The sequence below is a fragment of the Homo sapiens genome, chromosome 19 (genome assembly GCF_000001405.40).
Source record: "Homo sapiens chromosome 19, GRCh38.p14 Primary Assembly".
In the NCBI taxonomy this organism is placed as follows: Eukaryota; Metazoa; Chordata; class Mammalia; order Primates; family Hominidae; genus Homo; species Homo sapiens.
In genome coordinates, this window is record NC_000019.10 from 31,080,797 (window position 1) to 31,100,443 (window position 19,647).

A 19,647-nucleotide genomic window follows, 5' to 3' on the forward strand; every position below is an offset into this window, starting at 1 on the left:
TGAGCACTTCACATGGCTGGGGCAGGAGGAAGAGAGAGAAAGGGAGGAAGCCCTACACACTTTTAGACAACCAGATCTCACAAGAACTCATGGGTGCAATGACAACACTGAGGGGGATGGTAATAAACCATTCATGAGAAACCCCCACCATGCAGGTGGTGGATCACCTGAGGTCAAGAGTTCGAGACCAGCCTGGCCATCATGGCGAAACCCCGTCTCTACTAGAAATACTAAATTAGCTGGGCATGGTGGCACATGCCTCTGATCGCAGCTACTCGGGAGGCTGAGGCAGGAGAATCTCTTGAACCTGCGAGGCGGAGGTTGCAGTGAGCCAAGATCATGCCATTGCACTCTAGCCTAGACAAAAAGAGCAAGACTCCGTCTCAAAAAAAAAAAAAAAAGAAACCCCTGCCATGATCCAATCACCTCCCACTAAGCCCCACCTCCAGCATTGGGGATTACAACTGAACATGAGATTTGGGCAGGGACACAGATCCAAACCATATCACTGTCCAAATGACAGTGCTGGAGTTGGGGCCTGGTGGGAGGTATTTGGATTATGGAGGCGGATCTCTCATAAATGGCTTTGGCCATCCTCTTGATGGTGAGTGAGCTCTTACTCTGAGTTCACAGGTGAACTTACACCTCCCCTACACACACACTCTTTCTCTCACTCCTGCTCTTGCATATGAGACACCTGCTCCCCCTTCACCTTCCACCATGAGTAAGAGCTTCCTGAGGCCTCACCAGAAACTGAGCAGATGCTGGCATCATGCTTGTACAAACTACAGAACCATGAGCCAATTAAACATATTTTCTTTATAAATTACCCAGACTCGGGTATTCCTTTAAAGCAATGCAAGAACAGCCTATCAAACTGGCACAGAATAGGCACTCAACAGACAGTTGCTGCTGCTACTGGTGGTGGTGGCAGTGGAGGAGGAAATGGTTATTGAGCCTGTGCCACATGTCAGGCTCAAAGCTAAACCCTTGTTGTGACTTTCTTCATTTAATCCTCATGGAGTCCCCATAATCCAGTTTAAGGAGTTGCCAAAGCTCCCCCACTGGTAAATTGTGAGCCATGATTCAAGCACAGGCCCTTAAAGTCATTACTGAGAACACCCGGCAGGGCACTGGCGAGTAACGTGTGATAGTGTTGCCATCCTCCATGCCCAGGCTAACTTAACCTTGGACAGGAGCATAACTGCTTGTCAGAATCTCATCCCTGCTGACAGTCATTAACTTTAAGGCAGCACAGAAGAGAGCATGTTAAGTTAAACTCAGACCTGTGCTTGTCAATTACAATGCCTTTAGAAAGATGCTACCATGATTCACGATGGACTCAACATGTTCATGTCGACAAGGAAGACTGGATGTCACACGCTGGACAAAGGTGGTGTAAACTGCCAGATTCCCAGTGATAGGCCAAGGAATTCCAAAGTTAGGAGAGCTCCAGGTGTCAAACTCATGAAGGACTTTCTCTCAGGTATTGAACATCTATCTGCCTAAAGCCTCCAACTGCCTTTCAAGAGAAGACCCTTATCTTCAAAGAAGACATGACTGAATTAAGGGGAAAAAGGTTACTCAAAAGTTTAATCAAATAGGAAATGCAGACCAATACCTAATATTCTTTGATGTGCTTCAAAGATAGGCAGTCAATCATGAAAGTGTTTGAAGAAATCGCAATCAAGATTACCAATGTGGGATTTGAAGAGGCAGCAGCTCCCGGGAAGTGGGGCATCACTGCTCATGGCCAAGAGTAATTGGACATAAAGAACGCATAGATTCAACTTTTGATAACTTCAATTGTGATTTAGAAGAACAAATCAGAATGAAATTGAATGGATAAATGAACATCTTATTGCGGGCTGAAACATTTTTCTGTTCAATTCATTAGTGCCACCCCATTCCCAAATAAAGAAGCTCTGATGTTTCTTATGACTAATGGTGTTGTAATATTTAGGAAAGAAGGAAAGAAGTGATGTGTTTGTGTGTGTGTGTGTGTGTGTGTGTGTGTGTGTGTATGATATATATTACCATATTGTGTTACATATTTATTAATTATATATTATTCTATTATATATCTCTCAAAAGATTATAATAATGATAATTATATTTGGGCAGTGAGATCATAGATGTCTTCAAATTTTTCCTTGTATCCTTCGTCTGAATTTTCTGCATTATCCTCACTGACAATGCCCAATTTCAGTAATAAGAAAACTCACACCGAAGAATGCAAAAATATCTGAAGCCAAACCTATGTAGTCCAAAGCTGTCTGCTTTCTAGTTTCTATGCTAAGCCCAACTTGCACATTCAAAACACCATTCCCGTTACATGCATGCAGTAATGTTTCATCAAAATTGCATCTGGAGTCATGTCCCTGGACACTGGGCTGTCAGGGATTAAGATGGGTGCCTCTAAATTCTGGGGGACGGGCTACCTATTGAGCCGTAGGTAGTGCCTGCATTTTGTTACCCATGGTGACAGCTGCCAATGTGTGAGTGAATGTGAAATGTCAAGTTCTTTGGCACCATTCCTGGAAGAATCTGTAATTTACTGGCTTCCTCATGTCACTGTCTGAAGTATTGCCTGGGAGACAGGCTATGACCCACCCTGGATCTTGGCCCAGCTTTCTTTAGGGTTCTCTGAAGGCCACTTTCCCATGAGGGTCCTTTGGTGGGAGCCCTTCCCATTCATTTTCCTCTTGCTTCGAATTTCTCCTGGGGAAGGGAATGGGGTCTCTGGCAACTTATTTTTTTTTCCTGCTTGTATTTCTGGGTGAAATCCCATGGAGGCACAAAGTGTGGAGCGGGGGATGCTGCTCGCCCCATCTTATTTTAAACCATGATAAGGTGGCAGGAGCCTTCAGCGATCAGGAAGGAAGAGACAACCGGAGAGTGGCAGGAGTGAGCAGAAATGACTCCAAAACGGCTTTGGTATTTGCTGGAGGCCTCACAGAGAGGATGCCTGCCAGTTTCGTTTTTATTTTTTATTTTTTAATACCAATTCAGTCAACACAAGCTAGGCAGTGTGTGGATCACTTTTTTTAATTGCTGCAAATGAAATGCATAATTAAATGCCATAAATTAAAAACTGACACTGGATGATCTCACTATGTCTGATCCAACAAAACAACTCACCCCAAAATGTGGAGAAAGCAGAAGCCTTCCTTCACTGATGTGCATTCTAGCCTCTGTTGAGGACATGCACTCCTGCAAACCTATAGATCCAGGAAAGGTCCTCAGACCTACCACCCCTGAAAATAGTGATGCACTGACCTCCTGTGTGCTCTGTGGCCAGTGGTGTGCACGTAGGAAAATTGCATGCTACAGATATTCTCCTCCCAAGCAAAGATTCAACCTGGTCAGACAAAAGTGACTGGTCAACTTGGTCAAACAACAAGACAATGAAATGACAGAAGAATGGAAGATAGACGTGGGCATGGAATAAGTTGTGAATCTAAAGTCTAGGCAGGCAGACACCCGAGTCTGAATCCATGGGATTAATACCAATTTGTGCAGTTCCATTTTGAATAATTGGCTAAGCCAAAAGTGTCCAGACTCATCTCATTATTAAATAGAACCTGAAGCAACATCAGCCCTGTTCTCTCTCTTAAACACCAAACTCAAAGTTCTATCAGTTGCATCCCTTTCTTTGCATGCTCAGGCAACACCTTAGTCAACATGGTCATGACCAAGCTCATTGGTTTCTGGCTTGGTTGATGGAAGAAAGAAAGCACGGTGTCTCCCTGAGCCCTCTGGTATCTACCCACCCCTAACACAAGTACACTACAAGTCCATGCCATTCATGGCACTCAATGGGCCTGCTGTCGTCTGCTCTTTTCACCTTCCTGCCTCTGGTGTTTCTCCTTTCCAGTGTGCCCTCCGCCATGATACCACCAGAGGTGGCTTTCTAAATGTGGGTTGGCACATTCCACCTTCTTCCTTGGAAATGCTTATTAACTCTCCCCTGGCTGTAGGATAAATCCAAAACCTGTCAATGTGCCCTTCGGGACTTTCTTGATCCTTCGACCTAGTAATAGTCAAGCCTGGAGGCTACAGCACCTTCCAGAGACCTGACCCCAGCCAGGAGAGAGAATTTGCCTTTGAACGGGCCATGTTCCTGGGCCTCGAGTGACCCCCCCGGGCAAAGGTATAAATGCAGGTGAAGTGCCCTTCCCTGGCACTCTTCACCCATCACAATCTTGTTCTTTGAAGGCTCAGCTCCCGTTAACAGACCTTCAGTTGGGCCAAGTCCTGGAACTACTACACCATGGGAGAATCACCCTCTGCAGCTGGCTTATTACCTGGTGGGACTGAACTCCCTGAGGACAGGGATCATTTTTAACTCATTTTTTTTCATCTTGTCATCATCCAGCATACAAATCCGGGAGACTCAAGAAATGTTTGTTGAATACACAAAACTCTGAAATAATCATAGTCGTACATTGCTTAATGACAAGGATATATACTTTCTGAAGAATGTGTTGTTAGGCAATTTCATCATTATGCAAGCATCATAAAGTGGACTTACGCAAACCAAGATGGCAAAGCCTACTCCACACCTAGGCTGTGCGGTATAGTCTATTGCTCCTAGGCTACAAATCTGTACAGCATGTTACTGTACCAAGTACTGCAGGCAATTGTAACACAATGGGAAGCATTTGTGTACCTAAACATATCTAAACATAGAAAACATACATTAAAAATATGGTATACAAGATAAAAAATGGTACACTTATATAGGGCACTTCCCACTAATGGAGCTTGCAGGACTGGAAGTTGCTCTGGGTGAGTGAGTGAGTGAGTGGTGAGTGAATGTGAAGGCCTAGGACATTACTGTACTGTACTGTAGACTTTATAAACCTGTACACTCAGGCTACACTAAATTTATATTTTAAAATGTCCTTCAATAATAAATGAACTTTAGCTTACTACAACTTCTTTACTTTATAAACTTTAAAATTTTTTTAACCATCTTTTTTTCTTTCTTTCTTCTTTCTTTCTTTCTTTCTTTCTTTCTTTCTTTCTTTCTTTCTTTCTTTCTTTCTTTCTTTCTTTCTTTCCCTACTTTCCTTTCTTTCCTTTCCTTTCCTCTTTCTTTCTTCCTTTCTTTCTTTCTTTCTTTCTTTCTTTCTTTCTTTCTTTCTTTCTTTCCTTCTTTCCTTCCTTCCTTCCTTCCTTCCTTCTTTTTTTTTTGATAGAGTCTTGCTCTGTCGCCCAGGCTGGAGTGCAGTGGCACAATCTTGACTCAATGCAACATCTGCCTTCTAGGTTCAAGCGATTCTCATGCCTCAGCCTCCTGAGTAGCTGGGATTACAGGCAGACACCACCATGCCCAGCTAATTTTTGTATTTTTAGTAGAGATGGGGTTTCACAATGTTGGCCAGGCTGGTCTCCAACTCCTGACCTCAGGTGATCTGCCCACCTCAACCTCCTAAAGTGCTGGGATTACAGGTAAGAGCCATTGTGCCTGGCCTAACTTTCTGACTCTTGTAATAACACTTAGCTTAAGACACAAACACATTGTACAGCTATACAAAAATATTTTCTTTCTTTATATCCTTACCCTGTAAGCTTTTTTCTATTTTTAACTTTTTTTAATTTTTTATTCTTTACTTTTTAAACTTTTTTGTTAAAAACAAAGATACAAACACACACATTAGCCTAGGCCTACACAGGGTCAGGATCATCAGTATCACTCTCTTCCACCTCCGCATCCTACCCCACTGGAAGATCTTCAGGGGCAATAACATGCATAGAGCTGTCACCTCTTGCAATACCTGTGGTAGCAATGTCTTCTTCTGGAATCCTTCCGGAAGGACCTGCCTGAGGTTGTTTTACAGTTAACTTTTTTTTATAAGTAGAAGGAGTACATCCTAAAATAACGATGACAATTATTGTATGGTAAATCTGAAAACCAGTAACACAGTCATTCATTATCATTGTATTATGTCCTGCATATAATTATATGTGCTACACTTTAACACGACTGGCAGTGCAGTAGGTATATTCACACCAGCATGGCCACAAACACAAGTGATGCTTTGCTACGACTTAAGGATGGCTACGATGTCACCAGGAGACAGGAATTTTTCAGCCCCACTATGATCTTTTGAGAACACTGTGGTACATGCTGTCTATCTTTGACCGAAACATTGCTATGCTATGCAAAACATTGCTAAAGTATAGAACATAATTATATGTGCTAGACTTTCATACAACTGGCAGTGAAGTAAGCTTGTTCACACCAGCATGGCCACAAATGCGAGTGATGCCTTGTGCTATGACCTTAGGATGGCTCCTGTTACCAGGAGATAGGAATTTTTCAGCCCTATTGTGATCTTATGAGACCATCGTAGTACATGCTTTCAGCACTGACCAAAACATTGCTATGTGGGGCATCAGCAACTCAGACAGGAAAAAGTTATAATTCCTGAGAGCAGTACCAGGTAACTGAGGCCATATTCTGAAATCAAAAATACCAGGAGGCCTGGGTATTTGCCTCCCCTCTCTTCCCTGCTCACCTGGACCAGACAGGCTGCTGCAAACCCTCAGTCTTCGGATGGACTTGAAGCTGTCAGTCTGTGGCTCTGTCAATCACGGGCCTTTCGAAAAGACTCAAATTCATTAGGAGGGGAAAAAAGCCTTTAAGAAAATGTTGTCAGAAAGAATCAATCAGTTTAAACATTTAAAAGTAAAATGTGCGTCAGTTAGTCTCCATGGGAAGGTTTTCATATTGCAGGGCATTCCCTCCTGGAGCCCCGCATTCTGAAGTTTCCTTCTGAGGCTCGGCTGCTCTTGAGGTGAGGGCAGGGGAGGAGGCAGCAGCAGCCTGTGAGCTGGGGGTGCTGAGGCTGAGTGAGAAGTGGCCATGTCATTCTCTAGCACTGCACATCTCACATGGATATAAAGAGATGACATGGTTTCAGGTTCTTTATCAGTCAGGGTAGAGCATAATTATTTGATCTTGTTTTCTGGCTGGCATTGGAGTATCCTATTCATTCCTCTTTTTATTTATTTATTAGAGACAGGATTTCCCTCTGTTGCCCAGGCTGGAGTGCAGTGGTGTGATCAGATCACAGCTCACTGCAGCCTTGAACTCCCTGAATCAAGGGATCCTTCCACCTCAGCCTCCTGATTAGCTGAGACTACAGGTGTGTGCCACCACACCCATCTAACATTTTTTATGTTCTATAGAGAAGAGGGTCTTACTAAGTTGCCCAGGCTGGTGTCAAACTTCTGGCCTCACGTGATACTCCTGCCTCAGCCTCCTACTGTTCTGGGATTAAAGGTGCCACTCACTGTGTCCAGTCTCTATTAATTCTTCTTGAAAAGAGAGAAGAAAAAGAGAAAGAAGGAAGGGAAGAAGAAAGGAAGGGAGGGAGGGAAGGAAGAAGGAGGGGAACAAGGCAAATAAAGCAGGATGAAAGAGAGGGAGGGAGGGAGGGAGGAAGAAAAGAGGGAGGAAGAGAGGGGAGAGGGGAGCAACCTTCATCCATTTGCACTTGATGACGATATAGGCTCCCCACTTTGTGCTCTCTGAGTGGCTCTCCCAGCTAGTTACCACTGGCTTCATTTTTGTGGTGCAGAGGTGTTAAATAACTTGCTTGAGCACATGCGGCTAGATGGAAAGCATACTCAGAATCCACTCTTTTAACACATTTTGTTTTGAAAATGCAAAAAGGTAGAAATAAAGACAAGTAAAAGTGGAAATACTCTCTTCAGCCATGAGGTATCTTTCCAGATATAATGGGGCACAACAGACCACCTTTGGAATAGAGTTTGGAGGTGGGGCTGGGGATGAAGTGGTGGGAGAAGGATTTTTTGGAGCGAAGAAGGGGGCTGAGGATTCCACCTGACACCCTTCTCACTGGGTCAGCATCCAAACAGTCCCTGGGATGGCTTTCTTGGGTGAAAATTAGTTTAAAAATCCAATTGCATACAATTTTAAGTAAAGGGACAATTTCTCGAAACATCAGAGTAAAACCCAACCAATAGAGTAAAAAACCAAACCAAACCAAACCAAACCAAAACAAAACAAAAACAAATCTTCAAGTAGTTTCTTCTATTGGTCTCTTGGAAACTCAAATCTTCACTTGTCAGCAAACCAAACAGCTGCCTACATGGGGAGCTTTCAAAAGCTTTAGCAAGTACCATGTTCTGGTTTCCCTCTCCCAGTGAATTTCCTTAAACACCTCCCCAGCCAACCAGAAATTCCACCACTGGATATGACGGTGGCCTCGACTTTTACTTTTGTTCACATGCAAACATCTTAGCAACAAACAACTTACATGTTTTCGGTCCCGACGTGCTTGTCAATGCAGGAAAGTAGCCTAGAAAGGAGAGTATAAAACATGAAAAGGAAAGGGAAGCATAAGCCAATGACATCCAAGGCTGAAAGAGAGTGGAAAGAACCAAAAACTGATCTGACATCCCTCCATCTCTCTTTCTTATATAATAAAGTACTTTCTTCATGGCTCACCACAGAGCAATCCAACATGGCACCCAGGTAAGTCATCATCAGGGACAGATACAAAGGAAAATAAAATTGTCCACAGAGAAATAGAAAAGGCCTGGACATGCCCTCCTCTCCAGCAGGCTGCCACCATTAAGAACTGCACCCTTCCCTTGGCACAGCTGGTGAGTCCAGGGGACTCCAGGCCTCCGTGGTTACTGTAGCCCCTCTTAATCTCATGAGGATGTGACACAGGGTCGGCTTGCTTTGGAAGTGAACGGGGGAGAAAAGGGACAGTCAAATATCTGTGACTGATATTTAAATTTAAAACCAATGCTATTTTATTTATTCATTCATTTGATTTCTTTAAAAAATTACCATAATAGCTAGAAATCCCATTGGCTGTCTTGTGTGTGCATGCACACGTGTTCTGGCACACGCACACACACAGGTTACATTTTTAGGGTACCCAGTTCTTTTCTAAGCATCCCGGAGGCTCTGAATTGAAAAGGAACTTAAAGCTATATAAATATTCTTCAAGGCCTATATAAAGAATAGGGTCCCCGCCAACTAGTCACTTACTCTTCGCTTGATCACTTCTAATAATAGGGAACTCACTACTTCCGCATGCAGCCATGCTTCCTGTTTAGACAGCTGACTGTTAGATTTTGACTTAATATAAAGATGAACTTTCTGTTTCTCCACTTACTGAATGCTTTTGGCATTCCAGGCACTGAGCTAAGCCTTCCACACATATCATCTTTGTCAATTATATCAACAGCCCTGTGAGACAGGGATGGTTTTACAGAGAAGGAAACTGAGGCTCAGAGAGACAATTTGCTGAAGATCTCATTGTTAGTTAGTGGTCAGGTTGGGGTTTGGTCCTAGGTCTCCTGGCTTCCAAATTCTCAGGATTGAATAGTGGGCTTAAGCTTCCATCCTATCAATGGTCCGGCATCATAGAGCCAGGCTAGTTCCCCTTCCCATGGAAAGCCCGGTAGGAGGATAAGAAAAACTCTCCCATCTTCTCTTTCTGTTCACCTCCACCCCTACCCTTCCCTGGAACCTCATCTTTCACAGGGTAAATAGCCCATTCCCCAAACCAGCAACCTTTTCCTAAGCATGTTGTAAGTGACCTTTGTGAATGTCACTGTGGAGTAAACAAATAACATTTGTATATTTTCCATGGTGGTCACTTCCTGCCTATGCTGTCCTCAGGAGCAAATGACAGAGGTGCAGTCCTCAAACAATCACCACCTCCTTAGTGTCTCGCAGCCTCTTCTCGTTGGGCCGGGAGCAGGGCCTGCAGCATATACATTTCATCTAGCTGATACCTCCTCTGTGATCTCTCCTGCCAACTGGACTCTGAGGTCCTTAAGGAAGGCTTTATTCATCTTTGTTCTGGCAACACCTGGCAGGGCTCAGGTACACAACTGAAGCTCAACACCTCTCTGCAGGAGGAAGGTATGAAAGGAGAAAGGAAGAAAGGGAGGGAGAAAGGGGAGACAGAGAGAAGGAGGAAAGGAAGAGGTAGGAAGAAAGAAATGGCGGAAGAAAGAGAGGAAGGAAGAAAGGAAATAAAGAAGGACTCAATTAGGGGTAAAATTACTTAACTTTTATGAAAGGAAAGCCATTCATATAAATAAAGTCACTTCCTCTTATAGGAAAATACAAAAAGATTTGGGATATAATCATTGGCTGATTATAGAGATAACCTAGTGATATTCTACCATTTGGAAAACTACTTTTTAGTTCTTACTGGTCAAGTAGTAAATCGGAAGTATCCAAATCACAATCATTTGTTTGTTCTTAAAAATCTAAATTAAGGCCGGGCGCGGTGGCTCATGCCTGTAATCCCAGCACTTTGGGAAACTGAGGCAGGTGTATCACCTGAGGTTAAGGGTTCGAGACTAGTCTGGCCAACATGGTGAAACCCTGTCTCTACAAAAAATACAAAAAATTAGCCGGGCGTTGTGGCGGGCACCTGTAATCCCAGCTACTCGGGAGGCTGAGGCAGGAGAATTGCTTGAACCTGGGAGGTGGAGGTTTCAGTGAGCCACTGAAGAGATCATGCCGCTGCACACCAGCCTGGGCAACAAGAGCCAAACTCCATCTCAAAAAAAAAAAAAAATCTAAATTAGGTAAATTAGAAATTTTTCAAAAAATGAAAATAAGTGTTTGAATCTCCAACTGCTTTTGAGAGGTTGGCAGTTGTGGCCAGTCATTTCTTCCTGGCAAAAGCTGGCTGAAGTTGAGCGGCACATGCTGGTATAGAAGGAGCTCCTGACCCTGGGTTCATGATGGACCCTGCCCAGACCCCCACACTTTGTGTAATTCCTGTCTGTCCAGGGAGCTGTCTGCAATGGTGGCCTCTGTCTTTCATCTGTGTGTGTTATTTTCACACTGAGTGAAAGTGAAACAAGTTCATTCATTCTTGTCCATGGATCCTTGCAAATCTCCAGCTCTGAAATCCTTTAATTCTAAGTCTTGTTCTTAAGGTGCCCAGGAACCACCAGCACTGGCCAGCCACACAGAAGGCAGTCCCTGCAACCTTGCTTAGTGACGGTGCTGAGCCCTCCACTTACCAGCTCCATTTATGAATGCTAGTATTTAAGGCCTGAGATCTTATTTTCAAATAAATTGCAGCACACCAAACTGAGTTTTGTTTTGGGAATTTGTGAGATTGTCTCAAGACTAGCCCCCTAATGTGGGGCCAAACAGCAAGGACAGAAAAAACATCAGGGTTCCACCGTCTCCCAGTCCCCCCAAAGCCCTGGACTATCTGAATGTGACAAAACTAACTTGTATTCTCAAATGTCCATCCTACACATCCCCAGCCCCTGTCTCACCTGTCAGTCTCTCTCAGTTAGTTTGCAAGGAACACAAAATTGTATATAGAGTCTGAAAGTGAATAGACTATGCCTTCATGGCATGGCCTTATTGGTGAAACCCCAAGGTCAAGAGGCAGGAGAACCCACAGCACCTCTGCAGGCAGGGATGCCTTCCTGAGGCTCAGTTTTGGAGACAGGCAGGCGCTTTATGGGGCCTGTTAGTGGGCACCATATACATCAGATGACTCAGTCCGCTGTGTTCCTCTTGATGCCGCTGAACTGCTTGCAAGACGATTTCTTTGAGCTTCCTTCCTCCCTTCGTCGAGCAGAGGGGGTAAGTCAGGGAACGCTTTTATGTGGCTGCTGCGTTTCCAAATGTTCCTCTATGATTGACAGCTCTGCATTCAGCTTCCCATTATGGCACCTGCAGATAATGAGATATCTTGAAACCGGAATTTCCAGCGCCTGAGCCTGCCAGGAATATTATCATCAGTGTTCTAGAAAGCCATTCCCGCTGCACACATGACCTCTACAAATTTGAAATGTCAAAACACAGCCAGGAGCTGAAACCAAGGCCACTCCAGTCCAAGTGGCTATTGGCTCTTGAATATACAGGAAGGAGTCCTCTATCTTGGGAGAATTATGGATTACCAGAAAATAGTGATCTTTTCATTAACCTATATGTATTTAGAATGTAGATAATGTCTGTCTTTTATCATTCGCATAGCCTGTGTGTGGGGGGACCTGAGAAATGAAGGCCTGGGCATTCCCCAGAGAATCCAGGACTCTTTGGGGGCTAACTCAGGCCATCAAATCTCCTCATCCTCAGTGGCAATCTGGGGCTTAATTTTGTAGACGTTATAGCCACCTAGACCTTGTTGTGTTATCAAAGAGGATAAAGGTAGAGGAAACTCAGTCCTACCTTTGGAATTGGAAGTTTAATCTTCTACTTGTTCATTTTCTTCTGTCTCTTTCACTTGGGCTACAAGCTTAGAGTCCTCAGCACAAGGGGGTTATGGGCTCACCTGTCTACTCAACTGAGCTTCTGGTCTGTGCCATTCACTATGTTGTGTGCTTAATATGAATTAGATATTTTAGGAGCTTGCTATATACAGACGGTGGCACTTGGTGAAGGATTTTGTTATCACCCTCAACAGGGAGAAGCAGAGGGTCAGGTGACTGATGGGGGGTAGAAGGAGGAAAAGGGTATTTGGAGAGCCTGCTCTTGGAGCTGGGCTACAAGGTTGGGTGGGATTTTCTTACAGGCATAAACTGATGAGAGTGAGGGTCATGGATTGACAGGTTTTACATGCAGATGGTTGCTCATGAACAAAGTCCTGTAGGTCTAGAAGTACATGGCACATCTTGGGGGCAGCAAGAGGTTGGGAGGGCCTGGATCACAGAGGGGCTGCACACAATGGGAGACCTGGCTAAAGAGGGCAAACAGGCCCTCCCAACAAAGGCCCGAGAGCCAGCAGGGCTGGGCCATTTCCCCAAAGTCTGAAGACTCGGAGTCTGTAGAAATGGCTCTTACAACCTTTATCTCTTTCTTCCTTTCCATGTTGTTGATAGGCCAGTCTTCCCTCCCTCTCCCCAGTTCTCCATCCACGGCAGAGTTGACCCTATAGCTAGGTTCTAAGGGCAGACACAGAAGCCACATGCGGCCACCTTCAAGAGCTCTTCATCGTTCCATCAGAGCGACTGGTTCAGGATGAACTATGACCCAAATTGGGCCACTGAGAATCAGCCTTGAGATTTTAGCTGGTGTCTTCATGAGCCAGGTCTGCTATTTCCACAGAGATTTCTAGGCAGGCAAAATAGAAGCTTGGCACTGCTGGTGGTCATCTTGCACTGCCTGGAGAAAGATGAGCTATGGATGTGCCAGTGTGGAGGAACGCAGAGCAGAGATGGGAAAGGTGGAGTTCTCCTGGTGTCATTCAGCACCTGACTTCAGCCATTTCTGAAGCCAGCTTCCATCCCTGGATTGTACCCTGGGAGATGATACATTTTTATTTATGTATTACTTGAAACAAGTTTTAGTTGAACTTCTGTCTCTTGAAACCACAAATAATCATAGTATGTGTAACAGCACGCATTGGCATAGCAAGTAGTCCTGTTCTCACCACAATGGCTTTGGGGATAACGCATTGGTACCTGATTGGATATTGAGATGAGGTATTGCACAAACAGTTGAAGGCTATGCATGCACATTTTTCTAGACACTTCACTACTTTTCTACTCACTTGGTCTCTCTCTAAGACCTCAGACCCTGCTGACAGGTGCAAAGACATCCACTCCATTCCCTCAGTGCAGATCTTCTAGGTGTCCACAAGAGAAGCCCATTAGGACCCCAAAACTCAGAGCTAGCAAAGCAGAAAACTCAGACCAGTTACTCCAAGTGGAGCTACACACTCAGGAGATCTCCGTGGACAGGTTCAGAATCCCACTGAAGACCCGGTCTAGCCCAGGTCAGCATGGGCAGACTCAGGAGTGGGAGCCTGCTCTGGGTGGAAGCCCAAGTGGTCCAGAGGTGTCCCCTGCAGGGGGGCCTCTAGCTAAACTGGGTGGGACCTCTTCCTCCTTCCTCTTGGAGGCTTTGGCTACATGGGGGAGTGAGCAATGGGCCTCCTGCTCCTCCGGGAAGCAGATATGGCTGAGGCCTGCCCTCCTCCAATGGGGCCTGGACAGCAGGCTTTTCTCAGCACATGAAGACAAATTCAGCCCAGAGGGTTTCTCTCCTGGTTAAGCTAAGGATATGAAGTTGGTCAGGGAGGACGAACCACATTCTTAAAAGGCATCCTGAATAAAATGGCTCAATAACCACAGAAGATTGGAAAATCATATTCCAGTGCCTCAGAACCCCCACCACACATGCACACATATATACACAGGCACACATACATATATGCACACACATGCACACATACATACACACATAGGCGCAAACATAGACATATATACACCTATAGACACATGTTCACACATACACACATGCACACACATATATGCATGCATACACATGAACATATAGACACACACATACACATGTAGACATAAACATAGACATACAGACACATATAGACACATATGCATGTACACGTATACAAACACACATGCATACGTGCACAAAGACACAGTGCACACACAGACACATACATAGACACATCTACACATATAGACACACACAAATATACACATAGACACATATACACATAGACAAACACACATATAGACACATATACACACATAGAAACAGACATACACACTGAGACACACATATACACACATACACACATAGACACACATACATTCATAGACACACACTTACACATATAGACACATCTATACACATACAGACACCACAAATATACACATAGACGCTATCCACACATAGACATGTAAACATACACACATAGACACACACAATACAAAGATACACACATACACATACTCACATAAAAACACACATGCATACACAAAGGCACAGAGACACACAGACACACACATAGACACACATACGGACACATACACACAGATACACAAACACACATATACACATGCACACAAACATACACAGAGACACGCACACACACACAGCCACACACAGAAACACATATAGACACAGGCACATAAAACACAAGTACACACAGATACACACTAACACCAATATCACACACACACATACACACACACTACTTTCTAAAGACTCGAAGGAGTCCTATCAGGGAAAATGCACACGACTTGTCTGTCAGGCCAGCTGGCCCTAACAATGGAGGCGTGTGTCCCCACTGAATAATTGACCTTACCCCAGGATCCCCAGAAAGCTTTTTTTTTTTTTTTTTTTTTTGTTTTTCTTTTCCTCCCAATAGCATCTGAGGACAAAGAGACACTTGCAGTAGCGGAACAGGCCTCTCCGGGTAAAATTAGAACTGTCTCTAGAAAGGTGCACGCATGTGCTCCAACATACAGCAAATAATTTATTGTCAGGTGCAATTCCCCTGCTTGAAGATCGGGTGGCTCTCTGGCCATCCACGCCAGACTGGAAAGCAGTGTCCCTAGTCCCCGGATCCTGTCCAGCTGAGCGTAGACGGCAGTAGCCAGGGACTGGCAGCACAGGCTGTGTGACCGGGGCAGGGCTGGGAGAGAAAATGGCCGCCCTGTCGCCAGGTCCTTCTGTGTGTGGCCCTGTCAGGAAGGAGCCGGAGCTCCGGCCGGGGCTGGCTGGCTCCCGCTAAGTACTAACGCCACGGTGGCGGTGGGGGACAGGAGATGAGAGACAGAACAGGGCAGCTGCAAATGGAAATCACCCTAGGGAAGGTTACAACTAGATAAAGTTTTCGACAATAAGATTCCAGAGACTGCTGACGGGAGCAAAGCTCCGTATTTTAGTCTCAGTACAAATTTGCTTCAATCTTATACAACTCCCATGCAGCATTGCCCACAGCTGCATGCTGTAAACAACAAACAAATCTATTTCCATCAGCCCTGCTGATGCCAGGAGAAAAGTGCCTGAGCAGAAGACATGCACAGATGCAAACCCTCACCTGAGCCTGGCGCTGCCCTCCATTTGGCCTCTCTAACTTAATATCGTTGTTACAAAGCTATTGGTCTCCTGGTAGCTAGCTGGCTCAACGCAGTGCCTCTTCTTCCAGCTAATCTGACAACTCCGATCCAAGAAGCATCAAGGGCCCAATTAAGAAGACACATCTTATCAAGGAGCTTATTTTGCATAACAGAATACAAATGACGAATAAAAATTTAATGTTTAATAACTTAGTACAAAGAGGGCTGTTGATATAGAATGCCTGGAATTTTTATGGAGGCTGTCAGACTTGTGATAAAACTGTTATATAGGAACACTTGGCAAAAAACAGCGTAGAATTTTTCAGTAATGGTGTGTGCATGATATTGCATTAATTCTTGATAGGGAACTAACTGTAAGCCAGTTTGAGTTTCAGTGTAAGATGGTGTGTGTGTGTGCGTGCGTGTGTGTGTGTGCATGCGCGTGTGTGTGTCGTGCTCTATCCAGAATGCTCTGAGGGTGTGGCTGGACATGCACCCATGCCTTTATGGAGGAGAATCAAAGTGCATTTTATTGAGGACTTTGCAGAGAAGTTGCTCAGTCCTGCATAAGACATCTGGGTGTGTCTTATCTAGAACAGAAATGGCAGGAAATGAGTGGGGTCACTTTCTGTAGTAACTATCCTGACACCAAGAGTTGGGCAGGATTCTTAAGGGTTGCTTGGGAGCATTGGAAATTCTCCATGACCTCTGTATGAGGGTGAGTGTGTGACACGGAGGAACAGTGTGTGGGAGGGTGCCTCGCTAGTCTCTGGTCTCCGAAATTTGATCCCTGGAAGCAGCTAATAGAGATATGCACAAAAATTCATGCCTGAGCTGGATACTTATCGACTCCGCAGAGCTTTCCTATTGCTTTAGCCATGAGGACATCTTTCAATGATGCTTTCATTCAAATATTTACTGACACCCTAAACTTGGCTCAGCTCTGGAAGGAAAGCCACAGTTCTTCCAGGCCCCTCTAGAAAGCGGGTCTGTGGCCACAGGATTGACTCTTGTCTCTGCCACGCACTACCTGCAAGATACTTGAACAAGTTACCCGACTTCTCCAAACTTCCATTTCTTCAATGTAAATCGAATTATGAATGGTACCTACCTCTCTGACTTAAAGTGATCACCCAGCCTTGGCATTTAGCACGGAGTCGGGAGCACAGGAAACTCTGGATGTATATCAGCCTTCTATCACGTTATCGATGCATTTCAGAGCAATTGCATCTCCCAAGCTTTGGCCCAGAGGAGCATTGGTGTCCACACTCTGAATGGCTTTAGGCTGATTGGAAAAATTCTTGACATTATGGCTGTGTCTCCACAAAATTCCAAATGTCTGTCGAGAGAAATTGAGCCTTCATCTCTAGTAATGCTTTATTTTTAAAGTGGCCATTAACTAGGGCTAAACTCCTGCTGAATTAGAGAGGAACCCTTTCAGATAGATGTACATATCACATCTATATGAATGCAAGATGAATTTCATACTCATCCTGTCCTATTGCATTAGTGTTATTACATTGAATACTAAATGAATTTCTAATGATTGGACACTCAGAGGAAAATGTGACCCTTCACAGTAGTCGTCAAACTCTATAGGTGGATTGGAAATTGTCCGGTGGGGGCTTATCCTACTGGCAAAAAGAACACACGACCCAAAACACAACCTTAAACATTATTGTGTGGGCTACTGGAAAGCATAATTTACTTGATGAGGCTAATATTCAAATGCAAACTTATATTAGAATTAACACTACAGGAGGGGCTTTTACATGGAGGATTTGTTACAGAAATAAAATCTATCGGTAACACTTTCATTGTTCCATCATTATGATCTCATTTGGTATTCACTGTAATGGCACCGATCATAATGAATTTGTTTGATATTCATGTGGTTCTCCCACACATTAACAGAGTTTCTGTTATAATTCACCATCCAATAAGCATTAGTTAATGCAGACTTTAGACCAATAAAGATGGTCTATCCCACCCCTAGAGTTGCCTGGAGCTGTCTAAGAGTTCAGGGACATTTTGATATTGAATGATCCTCCTGCTTCCTCCTGGTTCCCATGCCATCCCTCAAGCTGGAGAGGGCTTTCTGAATCCCAAACTGGACATAAACAAGAATGGTCTCCATTTAGTTTTTGGAGCCCAGAGGAGCAGTTGGAGCTGCACCCTTTGATGCCACCAGTTCAACCCTCACAGATGTGGACTGTAGAATTACCCTCCTTTCTCCCTGTCTCACTGGGACTCCATGGGGGCCCAGCTAAACAATGCTCCCAGCAAAATGCTACTCATGCCAGAGTATATAAGCCAGTCCACTCTCCAAAATAACTTCCTACAAAAAATTTCAGGGCTGTGCTTTGGCGTTTGGACAAATGTTTACTCTGCCTTGGATCCCTCAGCCAGGGAGTGAAGCCAGTTTCTCAGCAGCTCTGACTCGTTGGCAATCAAGTACCCCAACCCCAGAGAAAATAAAATCTGACTGATACTGGCCCAGTTACTTCATCACTTGTCAGGGCACTGGGTGAGAGCTCTCTATTAAACTCTCTGGTAATTAAACTTGTGAAATGTCCCTATGATGCTTCTTAGTAATGGGTTTACCTGAGTGCACTGTCCAGGAGGGACTTGCCTTGCCATGCCACTGGGAGGGATGGTTCCATCCCTAACCACCACTCTTTCTGTTTCAATTGCCCAAATATTTATTACAAGGAATGGCAAAACCGCAATTGCTTTTGCACCAAACTAATAATACTCATCCAGTACTTCTAGAAAACTTGTGAGCCAGCATCAATTTTCAAGAGCAAGGTGCTGCCCACGATTATCTTGAAAATAATGTCTGATCAGTTTCTTAGTACTTGGAGAACTCTGACCTCCAGGCTAAGGGCATGATGTGCAAATCCACACTCCTTAAATCTTCAGTGCCTTTTGCAAAGACACACTCTAACCCCAGGCCTGAGGTAAGAGGACAGGGAAGCAGGTCTTCTAGTGCCTTTGTAAGGGATGCCGGTATGGTGAGCAAGCATGTACACAATCCAAAGAGGTGGGGCTTCCTGTCCTCCCAGAAAGAAGTGAATCCTCAGGAGGATTTCTCCCCTGGCTATCTGAGCGTCTTTGGACAAGTTGCTTGCCCACTGGCAATCAAATGAATTAAATGGCCCAGTGATCCTCAAAATAAACTTTTCCATCTGTAAAATGAAGATAATATAATAGTTGCAAAGATTAAGGAACCTAAGGTATGTAGAAATAGCACTCATCCAAGCTCTAACATAAAGTCTGGACTCAAACTGCACTAGAATTCAAGATTATTGCATCAAACAGCACGTTAGCATCTTAGCTGGAAACAGATGTTCCTGCTCCAGGCTGCCCCCACAAGTCAGGTTTGCTGGGCCTCTTTCATTGTCTCTGCAATGTGGAGTTTCTTTTGCTTCAGAGTTATCCTCACGGCTGTGATTCTCCAGCATCTGTAGCTAGAAAGGAGCAATGCAGAATCCTGGGAGGTGGATGGAAGCTGCCTCCCTCTGCAGTGTTAGGTAGAAGTTCCTTGGATTGCTTGGGTAAATGCAATGATTTCCTTCTGCCTTAGTCTTTTGTTGTTGCTGTTGTTTTTCTCTCCAATGTAGCAATGATTTCCCATTTTAAAATATTAAGCCACTAAGCTGTAAGAGAAACAAACTCCTTTGGGCATTTTTAACATTACCTCAGCAGAGGAAGAAATGTCACATGGTCCTATACCGCACTGTCCTCAAAGGGAATGTATGCCTGGCCCCAAACATAGCTTCCTCCTTAGCAGGA

The 19,647-nt window shown here is 44.4% G+C and overlaps 2 annotated features.

Annotated features, from left to right (window-relative positions):
• Positions 15,356-16,368: an enhancer, noted in NCBI's record as "VISTA enhancer hs385". NCBI's record gives its function as "enhancer in: neural tube[4/9] | dorsal root ganglion[4/9]" and the evidence as "EXISTENCE:transgenic organism evidence [ECO:0001131][PMID:17130149]".
• Positions 15,481-15,980: an enhancer, noted in NCBI's record as "H3K4me1 hESC enhancer chr19:31587183-31587682 (GRCh37/hg19 assembly coordinates)". NCBI's record gives its function as "activates a minimal SCP1, AML or CMV promoter by ChIP-STARR-seq in naive H9 embryonic stem cells {active_cell/tissue: H9 hESC(naive)}" and the evidence as "EXISTENCE:reporter gene assay evidence [ECO:0000049][PMID:30033119]".